This window comes from Homo sapiens, chromosome 9, assembly GCF_000001405.40.
Source record: "Homo sapiens chromosome 9, GRCh38.p14 Primary Assembly".
Classification (NCBI taxonomy): Eukaryota; Metazoa; Chordata; class Mammalia; order Primates; family Hominidae; genus Homo; species Homo sapiens.
This window is the reverse complement of record NC_000009.12, coordinates 127,031,573-127,053,183: the sequence shown is the minus strand read 5'-3', so window position 1 is coordinate 127,053,183 and position 21,611 is coordinate 127,031,573. Positions and strand designations below refer to the sequence as shown.

General features: G+C 42.8%; 1 protein-coding gene across 55 annotated transcripts in view; it reads right to left on the bottom strand.

Annotated features, from left to right (window-relative positions):
* Positions 1–21,611, bottom strand: part of RALGPS1 (Ral GEF with PH domain and SH3 binding motif 1) — a 308,385-nt gene that overhangs the window by 169,983 nt on the left and 116,791 nt on the right. For 33 of the 55 annotated variants that reach the window (XM_011519233.2, XM_047424120.1, NM_001322321.2 and 30 more), the window contains 3 exons: positions 18,670–18,753; positions 3,052–3,141; positions 245–337 (listed from right to left, as the gene is read on the bottom strand). In XM_011519233.2, coding sequence (XP_011517535.1) covers positions 245–337; positions 3,052–3,141; positions 18,670–18,753 — 267 coding nt within the window. The remainder of the gene's footprint in view (positions 1–244; positions 338–3,051; positions 3,142–18,669; positions 18,754–21,611) is intronic. The other 22 variants (XM_047424127.1, XM_047424125.1, XM_047424129.1 and 19 more) reach the window with 2 other exon arrangements.

The window sequence follows — 21,611 nt, the reverse complement described above, 5'->3', positions numbered from 1 at the left end:
CCAGGAAGATCCACTCTGGGGGCTTCTGACCCCAGCCACGTCAGCACCTTCACCATTCCCTGGTGCCAAAATGGGGCTGGGGTCACTGACGGAGTGAGGATGCCTACAGAACTGTCATCAACTCATAGTAACTCTGTTGTTGGCAAAGTATAGACAGTAAGAGAAAGGCTGGGGCTTGTGGAATGAAGAACTTCACCAATGAAATGATAGCCAAAATTAGATAGACTTAGGGAGATTAACTTACAGCCCAGGTTTTTGTCAGCCTGAAGATGGGAGCACTTTGTAATGCTGATACCACAGACATGAGAGAATGAAGGTTGTTGAGTTCTAGAAGTTTCTGAAAAAAAGATATGGAATAGATTATTTTGCTGCTATAAACAACAGAACAAAAACATGCTCAAGTGTTACCAAATGTCATATTTATGAAATTCAATTACACTTAAAAATATCTCATGTGGAAAACATAGTTCTAAGGATTTCATAGAAACCATATGCTTTTTTCCTCTTAAATTGTCAAAAGGTGAGTCTGCATCTAAAACGTGAGTCTGACTAGTCTGGACAGAAACGTGGCACGGGGTAAGGTTTGATAGTGTGCATTACGTTCTTTCTTTAGACAAATCTGAATACTGTCCCAGCAGGCTTTTGTAAACTAAAACCCCGACTGTGCCAACAGCATCAATGTGGGTCTTCTATGATTATCTTAACACCAGAAGGAGACAGAGGCCAAGGAAAGATGGTACCAATCTGCATAATCCCTCTCAGCTGGGAAGGCAATGCTCGGGCTTCCCCATCACTTGACCATGTTCCTTTGAACCAGACCCCAAATTAGTGAGAACATTTGGATTCAATTCAGTCTCAGACAAGTTTCTTACCATGGAGGGAAACAGAATGAGACACAGTCGAGTGTAAGTGCAGAAAAATGCGACTGCTCTGTTCCTGGTTTTATGCTAAGAGAAACCTGCTAACAGGACGGGGGTGCCATTTCTCTTTCTTGGGAGTCAATGAAGTTTGGGTTATTAGGCACGCTCTATGGAATCAAAAGACCTGGTTCCAATCCCAGCTCCCACTACTTGTGTGTCCTAATCCTTCTGAGCCTTGATGTCCTCATCCTTAAAGTGCAGAAGGCAATCACGGCACTTCTGCTACATGAGACAGTACATATCAACTGCCTAGACCAGTGGCTGGTCCCAGGGCAGGAGCTCAGTACAATATGAGTCTCAGCCTTGTCTTTGCCCACCCCTGTCACTTAAGTATTTCCAAGCTCAGTTGCCCCTTCCTCTAATATGTCTTTCCTGACTGTGTCCCCACAGAAGTCCATGCATATCTGTAGCACACTGGATTGTACTTGCTTTTTACTTGCCTCTCTCTCACCCTGGACTGTGTGTTTCCCGAGAGCAGGGACAAAGTTTTGTCTACCATGGTGTCTCTGGTACCCAGTACAGTGCCCAGCACATTGTAGGGCCTAGTGAAATGCATAAAGAAAGGAAAAGCCCTTATACTTAGTCCTCACAACTCTGTTCCTACTTGGAAATTTCTCTCTCACCACATGAGCTAAATACTTCATTTCATACATCTCGTAACATTCTCTAATTGTTTCCTGTGTGTAAGAATAGATTCTCTAAGTGAACTGAATTTCATTCTATGTATCTGCATTGTTATGCCTGTCACAGAACTTCTTTTTAGAGCTGAAAGGGCTCTGGAAATTATCTAACCCACAGCTCTGGAAATTATCTAACCCACCCCTTTCATTTTATAGATGGGAAAACCAAGGCCCAGAGAAAGGAAGGGGCTTGCACAAGGAAAGACCCAGGGCACAGAGCCAGCATGACAGTCTGCCACACAGAAAATGGCAGAGATTAAGGAGGGATCATTTTGAATTCCATGGGTGGGCACCATAAACACATTTCCAAACTGACAGCCCAGGAGGAATGGAACCACATCCTACTTTCTCTTGTGGCCCAGAACAGAACTGATTGACAGCAACAAATATCATTAAGCCCAGCACCAGTTCCAAGTACTTCAGGAGAATGCATAGGAAGTAAATGTGGCCATTGCTCTTAACATAAATAGATGATGCACTTAACCCGCCCATGAGGGCCAGTAGAGCAGCTTCCCTGAAGGCAGAGAGGCACGACTCCGATTCCTGCCCACCACTGACTGGCTATGGGGCCCTGAGCATGGACACTTCACCTCTCTAAGTTCTCCTTCCTCTGCAAATGGAATAATAATCATGTGAGCACTGAATATGATGAGGTCAGTAAAGCAGGTGACCACAGCATGGTGCCTGGCTCGTAAAGGGCAGCTTTCCTAGGACCTGGGTGGGAAGACAACACATGCACACATGAAGCAAGCAGCGAAACAGCCAGCACGATGCTGCGGCTGAGAGTCAGGCAAGCCTGGGTGGTTGAAACCAGTGTATGGGGAGGAGCTACTGGGCGTGACAGTACTCCAGGATGGCCCACGGGATGGCATAGCATTCCTAGAGATAAGGGAAAAGAAGGGAAAAGGTGATTCCCAACAAGGACAGAACCTATCAGGCCGGGGGCAGGAGGTGGGGATGGGGGGCTGCAGAGTCATCTGGCCCAGACCTGAAGCTCAGTGGGAGGTGGGTGGGGTGTGCTGACTGCTGACAATATTGTGCAGGATGTAATGATATCACAAGCATTGAGCATTGATGCTAACTAAAATCCATCAACCCCCAGAACTGGCTAAATCTAAAGTAGGAGAATGAATGGATTCCAGGGGCAGCCTCTGGGTCCTGCCTTGCGGAGAGACTGTGAAAGCCCAGGTAAGGAGAATGGCTGGCCACTAAAATTATAGGGTGTGGGGCACGCTGCCAATTTGCGCACAAGGTGCTAGGGGGCTAGTGAGCACCCAGGCAGGTCTAACAGCTGGCTCTGCCTAGGGAAGTCAAGCCACAGCACCCTGTTTGAACTGTGCCTGGCAGGCCCACAGCAAAGCAGCTCCCAAAGTACTGAGGAAACATATTTTTGGGGAGGAGGTGTGGGAGAGAAGAGGGAAAGGAAGGAAAAATAATAATAAAAAGCTTACCTTGGCTATTTTCACAAAATGGCTGAGGATTTCTGCCCTTATTTTTAAAGTCTGTGCTGTTAGAATTTCTCGTACAACCCAAAAACTGACCTGTAGAGTCAAATACACACACATACACACATACACACCAGAAAAGTTGTTAATTGCTGGACCACCCGTGTCCCCCTTGCCCACCGCTGTTATGGGATTTCCAAGAGGTCAGGAAACTGGGAGAGGATAGCCTGGGGTCACATGAGTTAAAGAGTTCCTCTACAGCACCCAACCCTGCAAATGGGCCGTGTTCTCAGCACCCTGTCTCCAGTGCACACTGCAGTGCCAAGAGAAAGCAGCACTTTCCTCGTCATCCCAGGGAGCGCTGGGCCTCCGTGACACGAGTCTCGAGAAGAGTTGCTGGGAATCCTGAGATGAATCAGACTGAATTCCTGCTCAGAAGGATCCCAGTTGTGGGGAGATCATAGATGATGGGTGGATGGAGGGACAGATGGACAAAGAGCCAAAGGGACATGTATATTGGTAGGAACACTTGTGAGGTCCATATCCCCAGCCAGCCCTAAGATAAGGAGGATTCATCAATATTTGCACAATTTTAACAAATTTAATTTTTTGGGAGAGGCCCATCCCATAATGTAAATGATATGGAAGTATCTCTTTCAAAGTTCCATAAAGCAATGCATGTTACAGGGCATGTTTTCCCGGAGACAGCATGCACCAAAAAGGGTATGATGGTAGCTTTGGTTCAGAAGCCCATTCATGCTTGACCTCTCACATACTGCAACAGCCTGAACCCCTGTGTCTGATGGTGGAACAGGAAAGTCATCTACCAGAGTGGAGCTGACTCACATGGCACCTCAATGCAACGGAAGAGACTCATGCCAAGAAATGCTGGGAAGTGGCTAGCTCTTCCTGTTTATGTTTCACTTCTGTAACAACAGTTCTATGTGAAACACGGATGCCCAAGAGTGCAATGACAGCACTGCAAAGAAAGGTGGAGAGCCAGGCAAAGCACGGGGCATAGGGAGAATTAAAAAGAAGGCAAGGCATCTAAAACCCCTAAACTTTATAGGGAAAAATATAGTTAAGGATATTCCAGAGCTAATAAAACAAGCTTACTGCTGCAATAAAATGTATTCTCGTTATTGAAATACCATCACTTTTCAAATAGAAAGCAAAGAAAGAGAAACCAAGAATCAACAATGTGCTTTTTATATTAAGCAGGAGTATTATAGAAATGTTTTCTCAGTGTAATTATCTGTGGTTGCCTCCAGGACATGACTGGGTTTCCATAGAATCATTTTTTTCCAAGGAATTGCCCACAATTAAGCTCAGACTCAAATATTTACTAGCCAGTTACAGAAAAAAGTTTTTCTAAATACCAAATGGGATGCCCATAAACCTTATATTTTAATATGTGTACATTTTTATGGCATATTATCACACTCAAGTGTGATAGTTTACATGTACAATTTAGTAGATTCCTGCATGTCAAAGAATCACACGTTTATGGCATATTACGGAACATGGAAGCATTGACTCTGGAACTGCAGTCCATGTTGTGCAGAGGCAACTCTGAGTCAACAACTCGATTCAGCAGAGTTCCATGAAGCCCCTTCGGTGTGTGGGCTCCAGGCACTGGGAGCCCAGACCTTCCTGAAATTGAGGTGACCAAAGGAGGAGGCAGAATCCTTAAGGAATCGCTGTATTAGAAGGCAGCTGGTAATAGTGGCCATGGAAGAAGTTCAAACAGTAAACCAAAGTATGAGAGAGGTAATGACAGAGGAAGGCTTCTCGAAGAAGATAGGCCTTGAAAGATGGGTAGACTTTAAACAAGAGAAGACTGAAGTGTGGCCATATGTTCCATGACCAGGGACGGCTGGATAGGCTGAAAGCACTGGTGTTGCAGGAGTGCTGTGGGTGGGGGTTGTGAGTGACGATGAGGGTGGGGAGGGAGAAAAAGACCAGATTGGGTGTGTGGTGAGGAGGGGAGGACTGGTGCAACAAGGTGAGAGGAAGGAGCTAAAACACTATGCTACACAGGGACTTTCAGAGGCTTCTGAGCAGGGTGATAGATGAGATCCTTTGCAAGGATAGAGACACCCATTAGAAAACTGATGCAATGGTCTCAGTGAGAGATGAGGAGGTCTGAGCCAGTGCCATGCTGAAGGACATGGGAAGAAGAGGGAGATAAGGAAGACATTACAAAGGTAGAATCAGCATAGTTGTAAACACTTTTTTATTTTATTTTCTTTTCTAACTACAAAACTTAAGTTTTTAACTTCAGAAGTTTGATGAAGAAAACAAGGAATAAGAGATAAGTACAAAAGTAAGTCGTAAGAGATAAGTACAAAAAGACAAATCTCAGTCTCACATATAGACCAACATCATAAACACTGTGGTATGCATCCTTCTAGTCTTTTTTTCCTTTTTTTTTTTTTTTGAGAGGGCGTCTCGCTCTGTCACCGAGGCTGGAGTGCAGTGGCACGATCTCTGCTCACTGCAACCTCCGCCACCTGGGATCAAGCGATTCTCCTGCCTCAGCCTCCTTAGTAGCTGGGATTACAGGCATGCACCACCACACCTGGCTAATTTTTGTATTTTTAGTAGAGATGGGGTTTCACCGTATTGGCCAGGCTGATCTCGAACTCCTGACCTCAGGTGATCCACCTGCCTCGGCCTCCCAAAGTGCTGGGATTACAGGCATGAGCCACCATGCCCGGCCATCTTTTTTTTCTCTATATAGAACATGTTTGTCTCTTAAAACTAAATTGGTGTATATTAATCATATATCACAAGATTTTTATAAGTGAATATTCTTCTACAATTTTTAGCAGCTTCCAAGTATTTCATCATAGAGAAGTATCATCATTTTCTTAAATAACCCTCTACTGTTGAATAGGTTATTTCTAATTTTGTTGTAATAATGCTGAGATGAACATCTTTATACATATGTTTGTACACTTTTTATTAAGGTCCTCAGATAAATTCATGTAAAGTGGAGTGAATAAAAGCGTGTGTACCTGTTTTCAAAAGTATATGTAAAAAAAGTGGCCTCCAAAAGGTCTATTTGTTTACCCATCAACAAGTTGAAGCAGATCCATGTTGCCATACACAGGCCAATACCAGTTACTATCAGTTTTTTTTTTTTTAACTAATTCGATGGAAAAAAATGGTATTTCACAGTTTCAATTTCACATTTCTTTCATGACTATTCAGGTGTTTTTTGTTTGTTTGTTTTGCTTTTTTTCAGTTAACTTTTTTTGTTCCAAATATTTATAGGTCATTTGTATTATTTGCCTTCTGAACTGCCTGCACAGGTCCTTGTGAAGAACTATCTTTCTACTGGGACATCTGTCCTTCCAACCTCAAACTCCTGGGCTTGAGTATCCTCCCACCTCAGCCTGTCAAGTAGCTGAAACTACAGGCATGCATCACCACACCTGGCTTTTTTTTTTTTTTTTTTTTTGTATGGATGGGGTCTCACTATGTCACCAAAGCAGGTTTTCTCTTATTATTGATTGATAAAAGCTCTTTGTATATCAAATAAAAATACATGTTGTGAGTCATATATTGTACCAAGAGCATGTAGACATTGGTACTCTTATACATTGTTTGGAGGAATCGAAATCAATAACATTTTGAAGAACAACTTGAACATATCTTTCAAGATGTTTAAGGTATAGTCTCCCTAGAATATTTACCTTACAAAAATACAGAAATATAGAAACACAGATACACAAGGTTTCATTGAAGCACTATCTACAATTTTTAAAAGCCCATTGATAGGGAATTGGTTACACAATTTACACTACCACTTCAAACTCTGCAAGGAAGTCACTAAGCTCAGCCAATATTTAACAAGTGGGAAGTTACATTCTACCTTCTTGAGATCTAATCTACATAGATTATTTGAAATTTTCTGCATGAGAGATTTGTCGATTCTTCCACATTTATTTATATCAGTATAGATTTGTGGATATTTATTTTATACTTTGGGTTACAATCCAATACTATTATTTATATGCTGCTCAAATTGTTCCAGCTTTGGCCTTTGAGAGTTCTTTCAGTTGGCTCCTGCATCCCTTTGACACAACCCCTGTATTGTTTTGGTTTGTTAGTTTGAGCACTTCCTTACCTTCTGGCAATACAATATGCAACAGGCTCATCTTTTATATTTCTTGCCTTAGTCTTAAAATTAGTCATTTCTCCAAGGAACGCTGGTTCCTTTTATCAAATAACAGTATTAGAAACCAAGATTAGCACAAAACAGGTATGAAGTATGCTTGCTGCTACTGGGGTATCATCGTTTCTAGGTCCTCTCAGCTGGCAGAGCCAAGAAATTGTGTGTGTGTGTGTGTGTGTGTGTGTGTGTGTGTATGTGTGTGTGTGTGTGTGTGTGTGTGTGTGTACTAACCCATGCCTATACACATATCTGTAAAGATTTCTATATGTAACCATCTATATCTGTATTAAGCTAAACATGAGTTCATACTGATGTCTCCAACCGTAATCCATTACCACGTGGGTCGTTCTAGCCTCCTCACACCTGGCTTATCTGTAATTTCCCACTCCAACAGTGAGAAACTTGGTTCCCACCATCTGCCATCCATTTCATTATACTCTCTTATATTCATCTATTTCTTATATTGTTTGATTCCAGTACACAGGGATAATGGTTTCAGAATTGTTACCCATCCCCCTTGGGAAACAACTTTATCAAATGGAGTATGGTGTTTATATACAGTTCCTTTGTCTTTAGCCTTATAGGCTCCACTCTATTACAAATTTACTTAGGTCAGCAAAGTTTTCTCTCCCTGTCCTCAGTGAGGTTGTTCATACATTTATAATAGATTCTTTTATTACATTCTGCTATAACATTTTGTAATATTATACGTAACAAAATGTAACAAAGTGTTACACTGATCCCTCAAGTTGAATTTTAAAAATTTGCATATATTAAGGTTTCCTCTTGGTGCTATAAAGTTCACAAATGCACTGTGTCATGTATCCAACATGACAATATCATATAGTTTCACTGCCTTAAAAAAATAAATAAATAAAAACCCAGGCTTCACCTATTCAGCCCTCTCCCCTTTCCAAAGCCCTGACAAACACTGATTTGTTTATCATCTCTATAGCTTTACCTTTTCCAGAATGTCAAAAAAGGAAATATAAATGTAGAAGTATAATCATGTTGATAACTTGATTTATGCTAGCAAGAACATTTTCTTTGCTTTGTAATAAACCAACAATAATGATTCAGGAGGAGGAAGAAAAGAGAAAAGGCATCCTCCATATGCAACCTTTCAAGACTGGCTTTTTTCACTTGGCAATATGCACTTAAGATTCATCCACAACATAAAGATGGGAACAACACACACTGGGGACTATTAGAGGAAGGAGAGAGAGTGTGGCAAAGGCTGAGAAACTACCTATTATTGGGTACTATGCTCACTACCTGGGTGACAAGATCATTCATACTCCAAAACCTCAGCATCATGCAATATACTCATGTAACAAACCTGCACAGGTACCCTGAATTTAAAATAAAACATGAAATTATTTTTTTAAAAAAAAGATTCGGGCCGGGCACTGTGACTCATGCCTGTAATCCCAACACTTTGGGAGGCCGAGGAGGGCAGATCACCTGAGGTCAGGAGTTCCAGACCAGCCTGAGCAACATGGAGAAACCCCATCCCTACTAAAAATACAAAATTAGCCAGGTATGGTGGCGTATGCCTGTAATCCCAGCTACTCAGGAGGCTGGGGCAGGAGAATTGCTTGAACCCAGGAGGCGGAGGATGCAGTGAGCTGAGATCACGCCACTGCACTCCAGCCTGGGCAACAAGAGTGAAACTCTGTCTCAAAAAAAGAAAAAAAAAAAGATTCATCCATGTCTTTATATGACTTGATAGCTCATTCTCCCTTTTTTGGAAGAATGCTATTCCACTGTATGGATTTACCATGGTTTATTATCCATTTACCTTACCTAATGAAGGATGATATCTTGGTTACTTCTGATTTTCAACAACTATGAATAAAGCTGCTATAAACATTTGTGTGCTGTTTTTTGTGTGTGGATATAAGTTTTCAGATCAGCTAGGTAAATACCTAGGATTGCAATTGCTGGATTGAGTGTCTCATTTCACATTCCCACCAGCAATGAATAAGAGTTTGTGTTGCTTCAGATCTTTGACGGCAATTGGTGTTATCAGGGTTTTTTGTTTGTTTTATGTAGACATTCTAATAGGTATGTAGTGTTTTGTGTTTCCCTAATGACAAATAATGTTGAGCATCTTGTCATATGTTTATTTGCCATCTGCATATCTTCTTTGGTGAGCTTTCTTCAGATCTTTTGCCCATTTTTTAATTGGGCTATTTTCTTATTGTTGAGTTTCAAGAGTAAATTTTGGATACAACTCCTTTATCATATATGTGTTTTGCAAATATTTTCTCCCAATCTGTGGTAAGTCTTTTAATTCTCTTTACCATGTGTTTTGCAGAGTGAAAAAAATTTAATTTTCATAAAGTTCCAACTTATTTTTTCTTTCATGAATTCTGCTTTTGGTGTTTTATCTGATAACTCATTAACAAATCCAAGGTCATACAGGTTTTCTTCTACGTTTTCTCCTAAAAGTTTTATAGTTTTGTCTTTTACCTTTAGGCCTATGATCCATTTTCAATTAATTTTTAGGAAAGGTCTAAGGTCTGTGTCTAGGTTCATTTTTTTTTTTTTTTGCATATACACACAAATATTTAAATTCTTCCAGCACCACTTGTCCTTTCTCCGCTGAATGCCCTTGTACCTTTATCAAAGATCAGCTGACCATATTTGTGTAGGTCTATTTATCAGCTCCATCGACCTATGGGGCCAATTCTTTCGCCAATACCATGCTGTCTTGATAACTGTAGCTTTACAGTAAGTGCTGAAATCAGGTAGAGTGAGTCTTCCAATTTTATTCTTTTTCAGTATTGTGTTGATATTTGTAAAACAGCTTTCTAGGATTTTGATTGGGATTGCACTGGATCTATTGATCAAGTTGGGAAGAACTGACATCTTAACAGTATTGAGTCTTCCATTCCATGAAGATGGAGTATTTCTCTATTTATTTAGCTCCACTTTGATTTCTTTTATCAGTTTTTGAGGTTTCCATATTAACAGAACCTGTACATATTTTGTTAGAGGTATATCTAAGTTTTATGGTTTTCTTGGTGATATTGTAAATGGTATTGTTTGTTAACTTCAAATTGCAGTTCCTCATTGCTGGTCTAGAGGAAATCAATTGACTCTTGTATACTGGCCTGTGTCCTGCAACTCTGCTTACTCACTTCTTAGTTCCAGGAGTATTTTTGGAGATTTCTTTGGAATTTTCTATCTAGATAATCACGTCACCTATGTATAAAGGTTGTTTTACTTCTTCCTTTCCAATCTGTATACATTTTATTTATTTATTTTCTTGTCTTACTGTACTAGCCAGGACTTGCAGTAAGATGTTGTACAGAACGGATAAGAGAGCACATCCTTGCCTTGTTCCCAGTCTTAGGGGGAAAGTATTCAGTGTCTTACCATTATGTATGATGTTGGCTGAAGGACTTTTGTAGATGTTCTTTATCAAGTTGAAGAAGTTCTGTTCTATTCCTAATTGGCTGAGATTTTTTTTTTAATTATGAATGAGTACTGGACTTTGTGAGATGCTTTTTCAGGTCAAATGATATAATAATATGATTTTTCTACCCTAGCCTATTGTACAGTGGATTACATTAATTGATTTCCAATTGCTGAAGGAGCCAAACACACCCGGAGCATAACCCCAGTGGGTCATGGTGCTAATAAACTTTTAATACACATAACCTATTATTAACACTATTATTGTTATAGTGGTATAGCTAGCACTGGCATTTAGCTACTGAGGACTATGATATCTGGGACATGCCACGGCGGAATTATAAAAAAACAGAATAGTTATGGACACAACTTTATTCAGTTAACCAACCATGAAAAAAACAATCAAAGAATAAAACAAAGAAAAACAACAAGAAAAATCCAGGTTTAAAAATACTACTATTTCTTATGAAAAATCTACTTTTGCCACAAATTTCTCCTAAGTCCATTCACAGTTTTCTTAGAAACCAAGAGTTTGAAAGCATCTTAGAGGTCCCATCTACTCCCTGCCCTGACAGCTGCATGGTGTTCTACAGTAATAAAGCCCTTGTCTGGTCTCTGCCTCAGCCTTCATGGTTAAGAAACTTCCTTATATTAGGAGGAGGCCAACTGCCTCCCCGTTTCCATCCCTTGGGCCCTGCACTTATTGACCAGGCCCCATAGATTATGTTGAATCCAGCTTCCCCATTAAGAACTCCTCAATTGCTTGAAAACCTTGATGACCTTCTCCCTGAGTCTTCTCACTCACAGATCCTCCACCTATCCCTGTATAACATGTTTTCCTTCCCCTACTCTTCTAGTCACTGTAATACTTACATGCCACTCCTGTGTGATAATTCCCACCCTCACCCCTCACGTGAGGCACCCAGAACCAGACGTAACTGTCCAAGAGTGGTCTGGATAAAGCTGAGAAAAGCAAGATTACTACACACATACTAGAATGCCTAAAACACAAAATAGCTGACAATATCAGTTGCTGGCAAGGATTGAAGCCACACACTCATTCATTGCTGGTGAGAATACAAAATGGGACAAACACAATCTAGCTTGTGTTCCTAGGTATATACCCAGCTGATCTGAAAATCTAGCCGAGTGCGGTGGCTCAGGCCTGGAATCCCAGCACTTCAGGAGGCCGAGGTAGGCAGATCACGAGGTCAGGAGTTCGAGACCAACCTGGCGAACATGGTGAAACCCCGTCTCTACTAAAAATACAAAAATTAGCTGGGTGTGGTGGCATGCACCTGTAATCCTAGCTATTCCAGAAGCTGAGGTAGGAGAATCGCTTAAATCCAGGAGGCGGAGGTTGCAGTGATCTGAGATCACGCCACTGCACTCCAGCCTGGGCAACAGAGCAAGACTCCACCTCGGGGATAAAAAAAAAGAAAGAAAGAAAGAAAACTTTAGTACATACACACACACACACACACACACACACACACACACAAATGTTTGTAGCAGCTTTATTCATAGTTGTGAAAACTGGAAGTAACTAAGTAACTGAGATGTCCTTCAGTAAGTGAATGGATGAACAAACCATGGATGGTAAATCCATACAATGGAATATACACATACAAAAGAGCTGTCAAGACATATAAAGTAATATAAAGACATGGATGAATGTTAACTACATATCGCTAAGTGAAAAAAGTCCGTGTGAAAAGGCTACATGTTTATGATTCCACGGTAGAGATGGTAAACAGATCAGGATCTGGATTGCTATCTTCCCCTCCACACCAATCCTGCCTTCTTCCTTGGGCAACTTCAACATCACTGCAAATGACCCTGGCCTCAGATCCCTTGAGCACTTCAACTTTAGCAACTAGACCTCCCTACCACCTCAGCCACCTCTTTCTTCTTGATTTCCCAGACCTGCTCTATGTCAGAAAATTTCGGTTCCATCTGGGGCTACAATCTTTAAACATTCTAGTCCTTACTCTCTCCTTGACCCCCACTGTGTCAGACCTTTCCTCTCACCATGTCCTGGATTCCCTGGCAGCCCTTTTCCTTGGCATCCTTTTCCTCTTAAGCAGACCAATCCCCTATCATTTGTCACTTCAGCCTTTTCTTTTCTTCTGAGACAGCGTTTCACTCTGTCGCCCAGGCTGGAGTGCAGTGGTGAGATCTCGGCTCACTGCAACCTCCGCCCCCTCGAGTGCAAGTGATTCTCCTGCCTCAGCCTCCCAAGTAGCTTGGACTGCAGGTGTGCACCACCATGCCCAGCTAATTTTTGTATTTTTAGTAGAGATGGGATTTTGCCATGTAGGCCAGGCTGGTCTTGAACTCCTGACCTCAGATGATCCACCTGCCTTGGCCTCCCAAAGTGCTGGGATTCCAGGCTTGAGCCACCATGCCCGGCCTACTTCAGCCTTTTCTTTGACACTAGTTTAACTTCCCTTGCATCTTGACCCTTCCAAAAAATCTGCTTTGCCAACCCCTAAGGGGATGGGTCTAACCATTTGCTCTTCCATGCACCTACTCCTAGGCTGAGAAGTGCAACTAGAGAAAACCACCTACTACCTACATGCACTGGGGCCACTTAGAAAATCACAATCTCTATTTCATCTGGGCCACCATCACTGCCCAAGAGTCTTGCTGTATTTCCAGAGTCAGCTCTCTCTCCTTTCCTGTGTAGCAGCTTTTTTCAAGCTTTCCCCAAACCCATCAATCTTCTCGCCCCACTCCTTCCCCCTTTCCCTCCCATTTCACTGACGAAGAAAAGCCATCACTCTCCTTGTATTGCACCTACAAATGGGTCTACATCTGCCCCTTTCCTTTCTGCTGACTCATCTCTTACACTGAAGAGGCACCCAGGTCTTGGCTTCTTCCACCTTTTCTGAGACTTTACCTCATTAAGTACTTCCTCCCTCTCCTCATCTTTAACTTTTCCAGGTCCACTGGCTCCTTCACATCCTTAAGGATCTGCTCACTTCAAAGAAGAAAAAAGCATGCAACCACCTCCCAGGACTTTTTTGACTCCTCCACTCTCCAGCCACTCCCTTCTCAGCTCCCCTTGGAGCCAGTGTTGTAAGAATCACTTACACCTGCTCTCTTCATTGCCTCACATCTACCACTCAACCTGCTACATCCCTGCAAAACTGTCCTTGCTGCTAAAATCAAAGGACTCTTTTTTAGCCCTGTCTTAGAAGACTCATTCTGTAGCATTCCCTCATTTCTGAAACACTGATTTCCAGATACTGCCCTTTCCATATCACCAAGTGTTCTGCTCCCAGGTTGCTCTCTCTCTGCCTCCTGTGTGGCCTCCTCTCCTCTGCCCATCCCTTAAATGTCAGCAATCCTCAGGTACTCACTTGGGCCTCTGTTTCTCCTTGGATGATTTCACTGACCCCAGGCCTTCAAATGCAGGTGACTCCAATATTTGCATCTCCAGGCTGGACCTTTCCCCAACTTCCGGACTCAAATATCCAATGACCTCCTGCATACTTCATCCCACATGTCCAAACCTAACTCATCTCCAACTCTCAAAACTGCTCCTCCTTTGTGTTCACTGTCTCAAGGATGGGACTGCCCAAATACCAAAAGAGGACCCTCTTTTACTCTTCTCTGTCATTTCCCTCCATAACCAATCAATCACCAAGGGCTGTCATTTTGTCTTCTAATATTTTCTTGTGCCCAGCCAGTTTACAGCTCCAATCCCTCACTCAGATTGAAGGAACAGACCCCACTCTGGCCTCCCTTGCTCCTGCACATGCCTTTCCTCTGGTTTCCCCGTCCTAGCACAGATTCCCCTGGACTGGAATCGCCTCCATCATGTTTGCCTCCTACACTCGACTATGAGCTGACAATGGCAAAGGCGACAATTTGTTTATTGTTGACCCCCTGAACCAGCACAGAGCCTAGTACATATTCAGTCAATGACTACTGAATACATAAATGAATAGAACTAGAGTGATGAGCGTCATATAAAAGGGAGTATTACACAATGAGGAAAGAGTAACTGTTTAGAGATAGCATGTGGAAGAAAGGAGAATGCTAACATTGTCTCCCAGCCCTGTGATAAATTAGGTTTGGAAAAGCAGAAGTTTCTATTAGAAAAGTGTTCAGAAAAAAACAGAAGGCCCCTTAAGCAGAGGAATTCACCAGCTATGTAAATTTGAGCAAGTTGTTTCACTTTGCAGAGCCTCAGTTTCTTTATCCATGAAATGAGTGTAAAATATCTATCTCATTAGGCACGTGAAAATTGAATTAGATAGCACGGGTAAAATGCTTAGCATAGTATCTGATTCAATAAGTTCAGCATTAATGCTCAATAAATGTTTTTAAAATAGTTTCAATTAAAGCCAAGAGGAAGCAGAAACATTCAGTCACTAGGCTCATGAGCATGGGAGTTCAGAGGGCAGACAGGACTTGAGAGTGACAAGGTATCAACAGAATGGATTGGGGAGAAAGTTCAGAGCAGACTGGAAGAGTACAAGAGAAAAGAAGGTCTATGATAACTATCTGTCTTCCTTTCTGGCCCTCATCCATAGCTTCTTCCTTCCAGAACACCCTGATTTTCCTTGAGGAAATACCCCTTCTCCATTCTCAGTCCATGTGGCCTAGGCCTACCGCCTCTCCTCCATAGGAAGGCCTGTTTCCAAGACCTGGCCAATCAGAGCTTCATGTCTTCCTGGTCACAGTGATTAGATCATAACAAACAAGATAGGCCACAAGCCAGGGCAATCTGAGCCACTGAGTCTCAATTCCAGGGCATCAGATAGAGCTACTGAAAAAGCAGCAGGTCTTTTCTCCTGAGGTTGCCCTCGGAATATGATACAAGCCTGGAATTGTTGCTAGCCATCCTGCAACCACAGGGGGAGGCTACCTGAGGTAGAACCAGCTCAGAGGAAAGCAGAACCTGGAGGTGGAGAGAGCAAGACCAAGTTCAGATGGTACTGTCCCCACTGCCTAGATTCAGCAATATTTGAAGTCAGTATCTCCCTAGATTTAGTTATTATACATAAACCATGAAGCTCTCTTTTGTGCTTAACTGAGTTTGAGCTGGGGTTTCAGTCATTAGCAACTATAAAATGTGTCCATGAGACAAGTTGGAAACATTTGGCCCTGTCCAATCTCCATGAATGGAAAAAGGTCCTGAGACCCAAAGAGAGGAGGGGCCTTAAAGCAGGTTAGCAGCACGGCCTAGACTAGAACCACGTTTCTCCCAATTCCCTCTTCACCTTTTCCAAAATTTTCAGCATCTTTGTGATACAAGGCCAACCTTGCACATATGCCCAAGCCTGTTGGTCTGGTCTTAACCTTCCTTTCAGCTCATAGCTCCTACTACTCTGCCCCTTTGTTTAAGCTTACATGGAATGTTTACTAAGTGTCAAGCACTGGGGTGACCCGTTTATATTCATGATTCTTGTTTAGTCTTCAAAAACCACTTAAAATGATTCTTCCTGTTTTATAAATGAGGACTACCAGGCTGAGAGAGGCCAAAAGCCAACCCAAGATCATACAGCTAATAAGTTGTTGCGATAAGACTCACACCCAGGCCTGTGGGATTCCCTGAGACACAGCTTCTCAGTCTATTGTCCGCAGACCCATAAATGTCCACACATAAACTTCCGGAAGGCAGTGAACACCCTAAAATTAAATGCAAATTTGTATATCTCTGCAGTTTTCTGGAGGAACATTCATATGTGATACTGTCAGATTCTCAAAAGAACCCAAGACCCAAAAAAGATTGAGAACTTCTGTGCTACACAGGGTATTCCTTGGGGTTGTAACATAGGCTGGCTCATAAAAGACCTTTAGTGAACTTGGCCAAACTCTTCCATCTCAGCCACTCTATGAGCAAATCCCAAGGGACTCGGATCCCACGGAGAAGCAGGCAAGCACTAGCCACTGGGTTTCTGTTTGGCCACAAGAAGCCTCAAATCCTCTGGCAACCTCCTCCCAATCAGCTGATCTTCACATTTCTCTTTTCTTCTCCCAAAACATTTGGATGCTTACTACATGCCAGACATTGTGCTAAAGCTCTTCATATTCCATTTGTTCTTCATAACAACAGTGCAAGGAGAGCACTACTATTATTCTCAGTTACAGAAAAGAAAGCTGAGGCTCAGACAGGTAAGTGACCTGCTTTCTTTTATTTGGAGTCTGATGAGTCTTGTTCTCACACATAAAATTCTGCCAGGAAGGGACGCCAACGAGTTCATCCCAAAGAAGGCAGCTCCAATGGCTGACCAGGCCTGGCCTCTGGCCAATTTTCAAACCAGAGCTACCAGGGCTATGTCCAGAAGCTGCTGGCTCTCCGACTGGCTGATGGGCCAGCAGGAAGACCATTTCCCAGAGCACTGTTTGAAAAAAAATGTGACTTTGCTTCTGGCTCATTTCATCACTTGGTCTGAGCTGGACACAACACAATTGTTCACAGAATAAGCCACATCGCCTTTGCCAAGTTGACCTGGCATCCACATGCAAAGCAGATTACATCAGAGCCCCAGCAGACCCTCCTCTGGGAGCTCTGTGGCTGGTCAGAGGTGGGGACTGAGTTGGCTCCCAGTCAAATAGTTTTGTTAAGGAAACTATGAATTCCCTGACAAAATTCTCACACTTTTTTTTTTTAATTAAAGACTAAGCTCAGTTGAAAAGAGACGATTTTTCAAAACAAAGAAAAAAGAAGCAAAAGACTTTGGAACTTCTCTTTTCAAAACAAACAGTGTGCAGCCCCTACTCCAGATGCACCTAGGTCTTTCTTGGTTCCTACTATATCTCATCAAATAATAATAATGCTAATTCGAGCCTCAATCTTCAAACTACAAGCTGGTGCCTTTCTGAGGATCCCGCTGGACTTGGGGTGGAAGGTCAAGGCTGGAGAAGCCTGGAGAGGGTTGAGCAACAGTGATGCACAAGACCAAGCATTTCCGAGAGAGAAGGCCCAGCTGGAGAGAGGGCCCAAAGGGAATCCAGGCCCCATCACCCAGAGGGCCAGTCATACATACTACGCAACCTCTAGGCTACTGGCCTCATTTGAAACCAGAAAAATAAGAATGAAGGAAATCTGTCAACAGTACAACAGTACAATTTGGGGGTTTGCATGCTTTCTCCTGAAGATCACGCAGGTCTGGCTGAGAAATAAGACACCCTACCTCCCTCAGTTGATCCAAGTCTCCAATCATCATTCCAGATCTTCATACCTGGAGCACAGGTTCTTGTTGGACCAAGTCAGTTTAAAGTAGTGCAAGGCCAGGGATCAGGCCATCAGGAATTCAAGAAAATTCAATTTAAAAGGTACTTCCTGAGCACCTCATCTATTCGTTCCATATATTGTTAATGAGGGTCTATGATATGCCTGACATTGGGCAAGGTGGTGGGGGACACAGTAATGAACAAGATAGACATGCTTATGGGGCTCCCAGGCCGGCAAGGAAGGTGGAGACTACAGAGTTATACAACATGAGGACAAATTAGTAAAGGATCACAGGGAGCACAGGGTACAATGTGGGGATATGTGACCTCACACAGGCTGGGGATTCAGGGAAGACTCCCCAAAGAAATGACATTTAGGCTGAGATCTGACTGGAAGTTGAACAGGGAGGAAGGATTCTGGGCTGTGAAGACCACACACATGGGGCCTGACAGGAGAGAGATAAGGTATATCAGTAAGAGAAGGAAGGCCAGGAGGAGGGAAAAGAGATGAGGCTGGAGGAGTGGACAGAAGCGAGATCCACCATGCTGAACCTTGCAAAGCATATTAAGGTACTTGAACCTTAGCTTAAGTGAAACTGGAAGTCACTGAAGTGATTTAAGCATAGGAAAGGTATGTTCAGTTCCACCTGCTCTGTGAAAATGGACTATAATGGCACAAAACTGGATAAAGGTGGGGGACTCATATGAGAAGCTGGATCTGGGGCCAGCTGGGAGCCTGGGAGACAGCTTTGGGTGGGGGCTCGCAGCCTACAGGGGACAGCAGCAGATTGCTCTCTGGATAGGCACATGCAAGGGGTGTTGCTTACCTGGTTAAACCTCCGGGTAAAGGCCACAACGTTAGGGGCAAGACTGTGTTTCTCCTTCTTACTCCATCCACAGCTGGCTAGTTCCTAGGAAGCACAGAATGAATTTCAACAGTGATTCTAGTTGGGATGCAAAATACACCAGGGGCATTAAATGGGAACATGAGCATGCATGAAGGTGGGAAAGGGCTGACACCTTGGCTGTTCCCATCTTTACTAGGTGGAAGAGAAGGGCTGGGTTTGTAGGTGACAGTGCAGCCTGGGACTACCAGAAATGAGGATAACTGGATTACTTTTCTCAACAACTCTGGCCATGTTTCCCAGGATTTCTGTGCCAAAAGAAATCCACTGCCACTCTGCCAGCTTCTCTAAGACCAGAAGTCCTTCTTACAATGCAAATTGTCTGAGGGGGCACAGAAATGTTTTAACCAGCAGAACTCATCCCCACATAGTTGTGATGCCAGGGCTCCATTAAAAAATCTCAGATTTCACTGGCCACATGACATCATCCATTCCTGGTGTGAGGCAAAGTCTCAGTCCAAGCCTACTGCAATCAGAGAAGCTTCTGGTATGACCTCAGATTCTGTCCTGAAGTTGGCCCCTCCAATCCCTCATATAACCAAAAGCATGCAGAAGGAAAGGTCCCCTTTAATATCTTGTTCAGAGGCCTTGTCTCTTTTTTTCCACTAGGTTTAGCATTATAATTTGAAGAACTGAATTATCTAGATTTTATTTATCAGTAAGGCTGGCTCTTAGCCAAGGGATAAAAGCTGGACACAATAGGAGCAATCTAATGGGATTACTTGGTGCTACAAAAAAGGACCAAGGAGAAGCCATCATCCAAATGCCCAGCATTCTCAGTGTGTGCCTTGTGGAGCCCTGAAACAGACTAGAGGAAAGGTAGCAAAGGTTGCAAATTCTGAAATTCTCCACCTATAAGTTACAAGACTGCCTTTTAATTCCTACCAGGCCTCAGTATTACTAATAACATTGGTTTTTTGCCATTGACCTAGAGTTTTCATAAGATCTTTAGTGAGAGGCAGCTGCCCAGCAGCTACAATAGATACAGATCAGGGGTCTCCTAGGAGAGCAGGGAGGGGAGCAGTAGGAACAGCCCAGGACAAAACTGGCCACTAGCAGTCACGTCTGAAGGGCCACGCCTGTCAAACAGACCTTAGGACCTGACAATCAGCCACAGACAGGGGCTTGGTGGGAGCCTGGCTAAAGGCAACAGCAGCTCCTGGTCACAAGATGAATGCCCTGGACTTAGGAACACAGAGGAACCAGCCAGAGGCCGAGACACCTCCTCCTGGTGCCTCACTTCTGTCCTTAAGGTCACCCACACAAGAGAACACAAACAACCTGGAGCCTGCCATGTCCTTCACACCCTCACAACTTAGACTCAAATAATAGCAATGACAACAGAATTCACTGGTGCTACCATTTAGCAAGAATTCCCCACAGAGCAGGTGCTGGACAGGGCACCTCACCTATGTCATCTCATGTAATTCTCACCACATCCATTTTAATAAAGAGGTTTCTTTCTCTTGGATGAATATTGTGACTCTACTTCTTTTCAAAAGCAGAGATGAGTCTCTTTAAGTTGTAGAAGTTACAGCTGTTTACTATGATTCTTCTTGTTCTGATGACATATATTTGCACTTGGTTTCTTTTTTTAATTTTTATTTTTGTAGAGATGGGGGTCTCACTGTGTTGCCCAGGCTGGTCTCAAATTCCTGGCCTTAAGCGATCTTCTTGCTTCGGCCTCCAAAAGGGCTGGGATTACAGGCATGAGCCACTGCACCCAGGCTATGTTCGGTTTCAAATGTATGTTTGACCTACCTCAGTTACATGTACTATCTCCCTCTCTTTAAAACACATACTTGAATCACTTTGCAAATATATGTTATTATTGCCCTTTTAAAGTTTGTTTGTGAAGACATAGGCCTCTCTCCCCAGTGAATCACAAAGCCAGTCCTGGAAAAGTATGGGTTTATAACCAAATATAAAACCCAACTCATAAAACTGATGTTTCAGGACTGAGGCACGGTTGTTGCCCAATTTCTAGCTGATAATTGCTCCCTTTGTATTTTTCCTGAATTTTCGAATAAATAGCAGAAGTCATGTGTGTGTGTGTGTGTGTGCACACGCACATGTGCATGAGTGAATTTAATACAGACTCTGTGGTCTTATTTCCACACCGTAATAACTTCAGACAATACCCAGAAAGGGAGCAGTGTGGACCCCAGGGTCAGATCCTGGCTGGCCACACACCAGCTGCACAATGCTTATCTTCTCAGAACTTCTAGTTTCTCATCTTAAAGTGGGTATGATACTATATTTATCTGGGAAGCTCATTATAACAATTAAATGAGATTAAGACATGCAAAGCACCTAGCACGTGACAGGTACTTGATAAAGGTTACCTGCCTTCCTCTTCCCAGGGGCACGCTGCTGTTAAGCAACAAGGCAGTATTCAGACTCAGCTTGAACGCCAAACGTCTTCTTTTTCCCACACCATTCTCTCTTTACTGTCTTGAATTATTAACAAAATCTATTATTATTTCTCTTTCATTTTGCTGATATCATGCAGGCAAGAACCAGTTGGTACTTAATACATCTTCCCTACATTTACTTGGTTTGAACATTTCTAAGACCCTAATTCAAAAACTCTATGTGGAGTTATTGGGTTTTAACAATTTCCTAAGGAATCTTTCGCACTAGAATGCATGTAACATTTAAAATTAACACATCAGCAGAGTAAAACATTATGTTTGAGAAGTACTTTGATAAAATGGAAGGAGCAAAGGATTTTGAGCCAAAATATCTTGCTCTGAATCCCACACCATGTCACTTATTTCCTGGGAAACACCAGACAAATCACCTCTCTCAGCATCAGTTCCTTCAGTACTAAATATGAAGATGCTATAGCTAACCCCACAGAA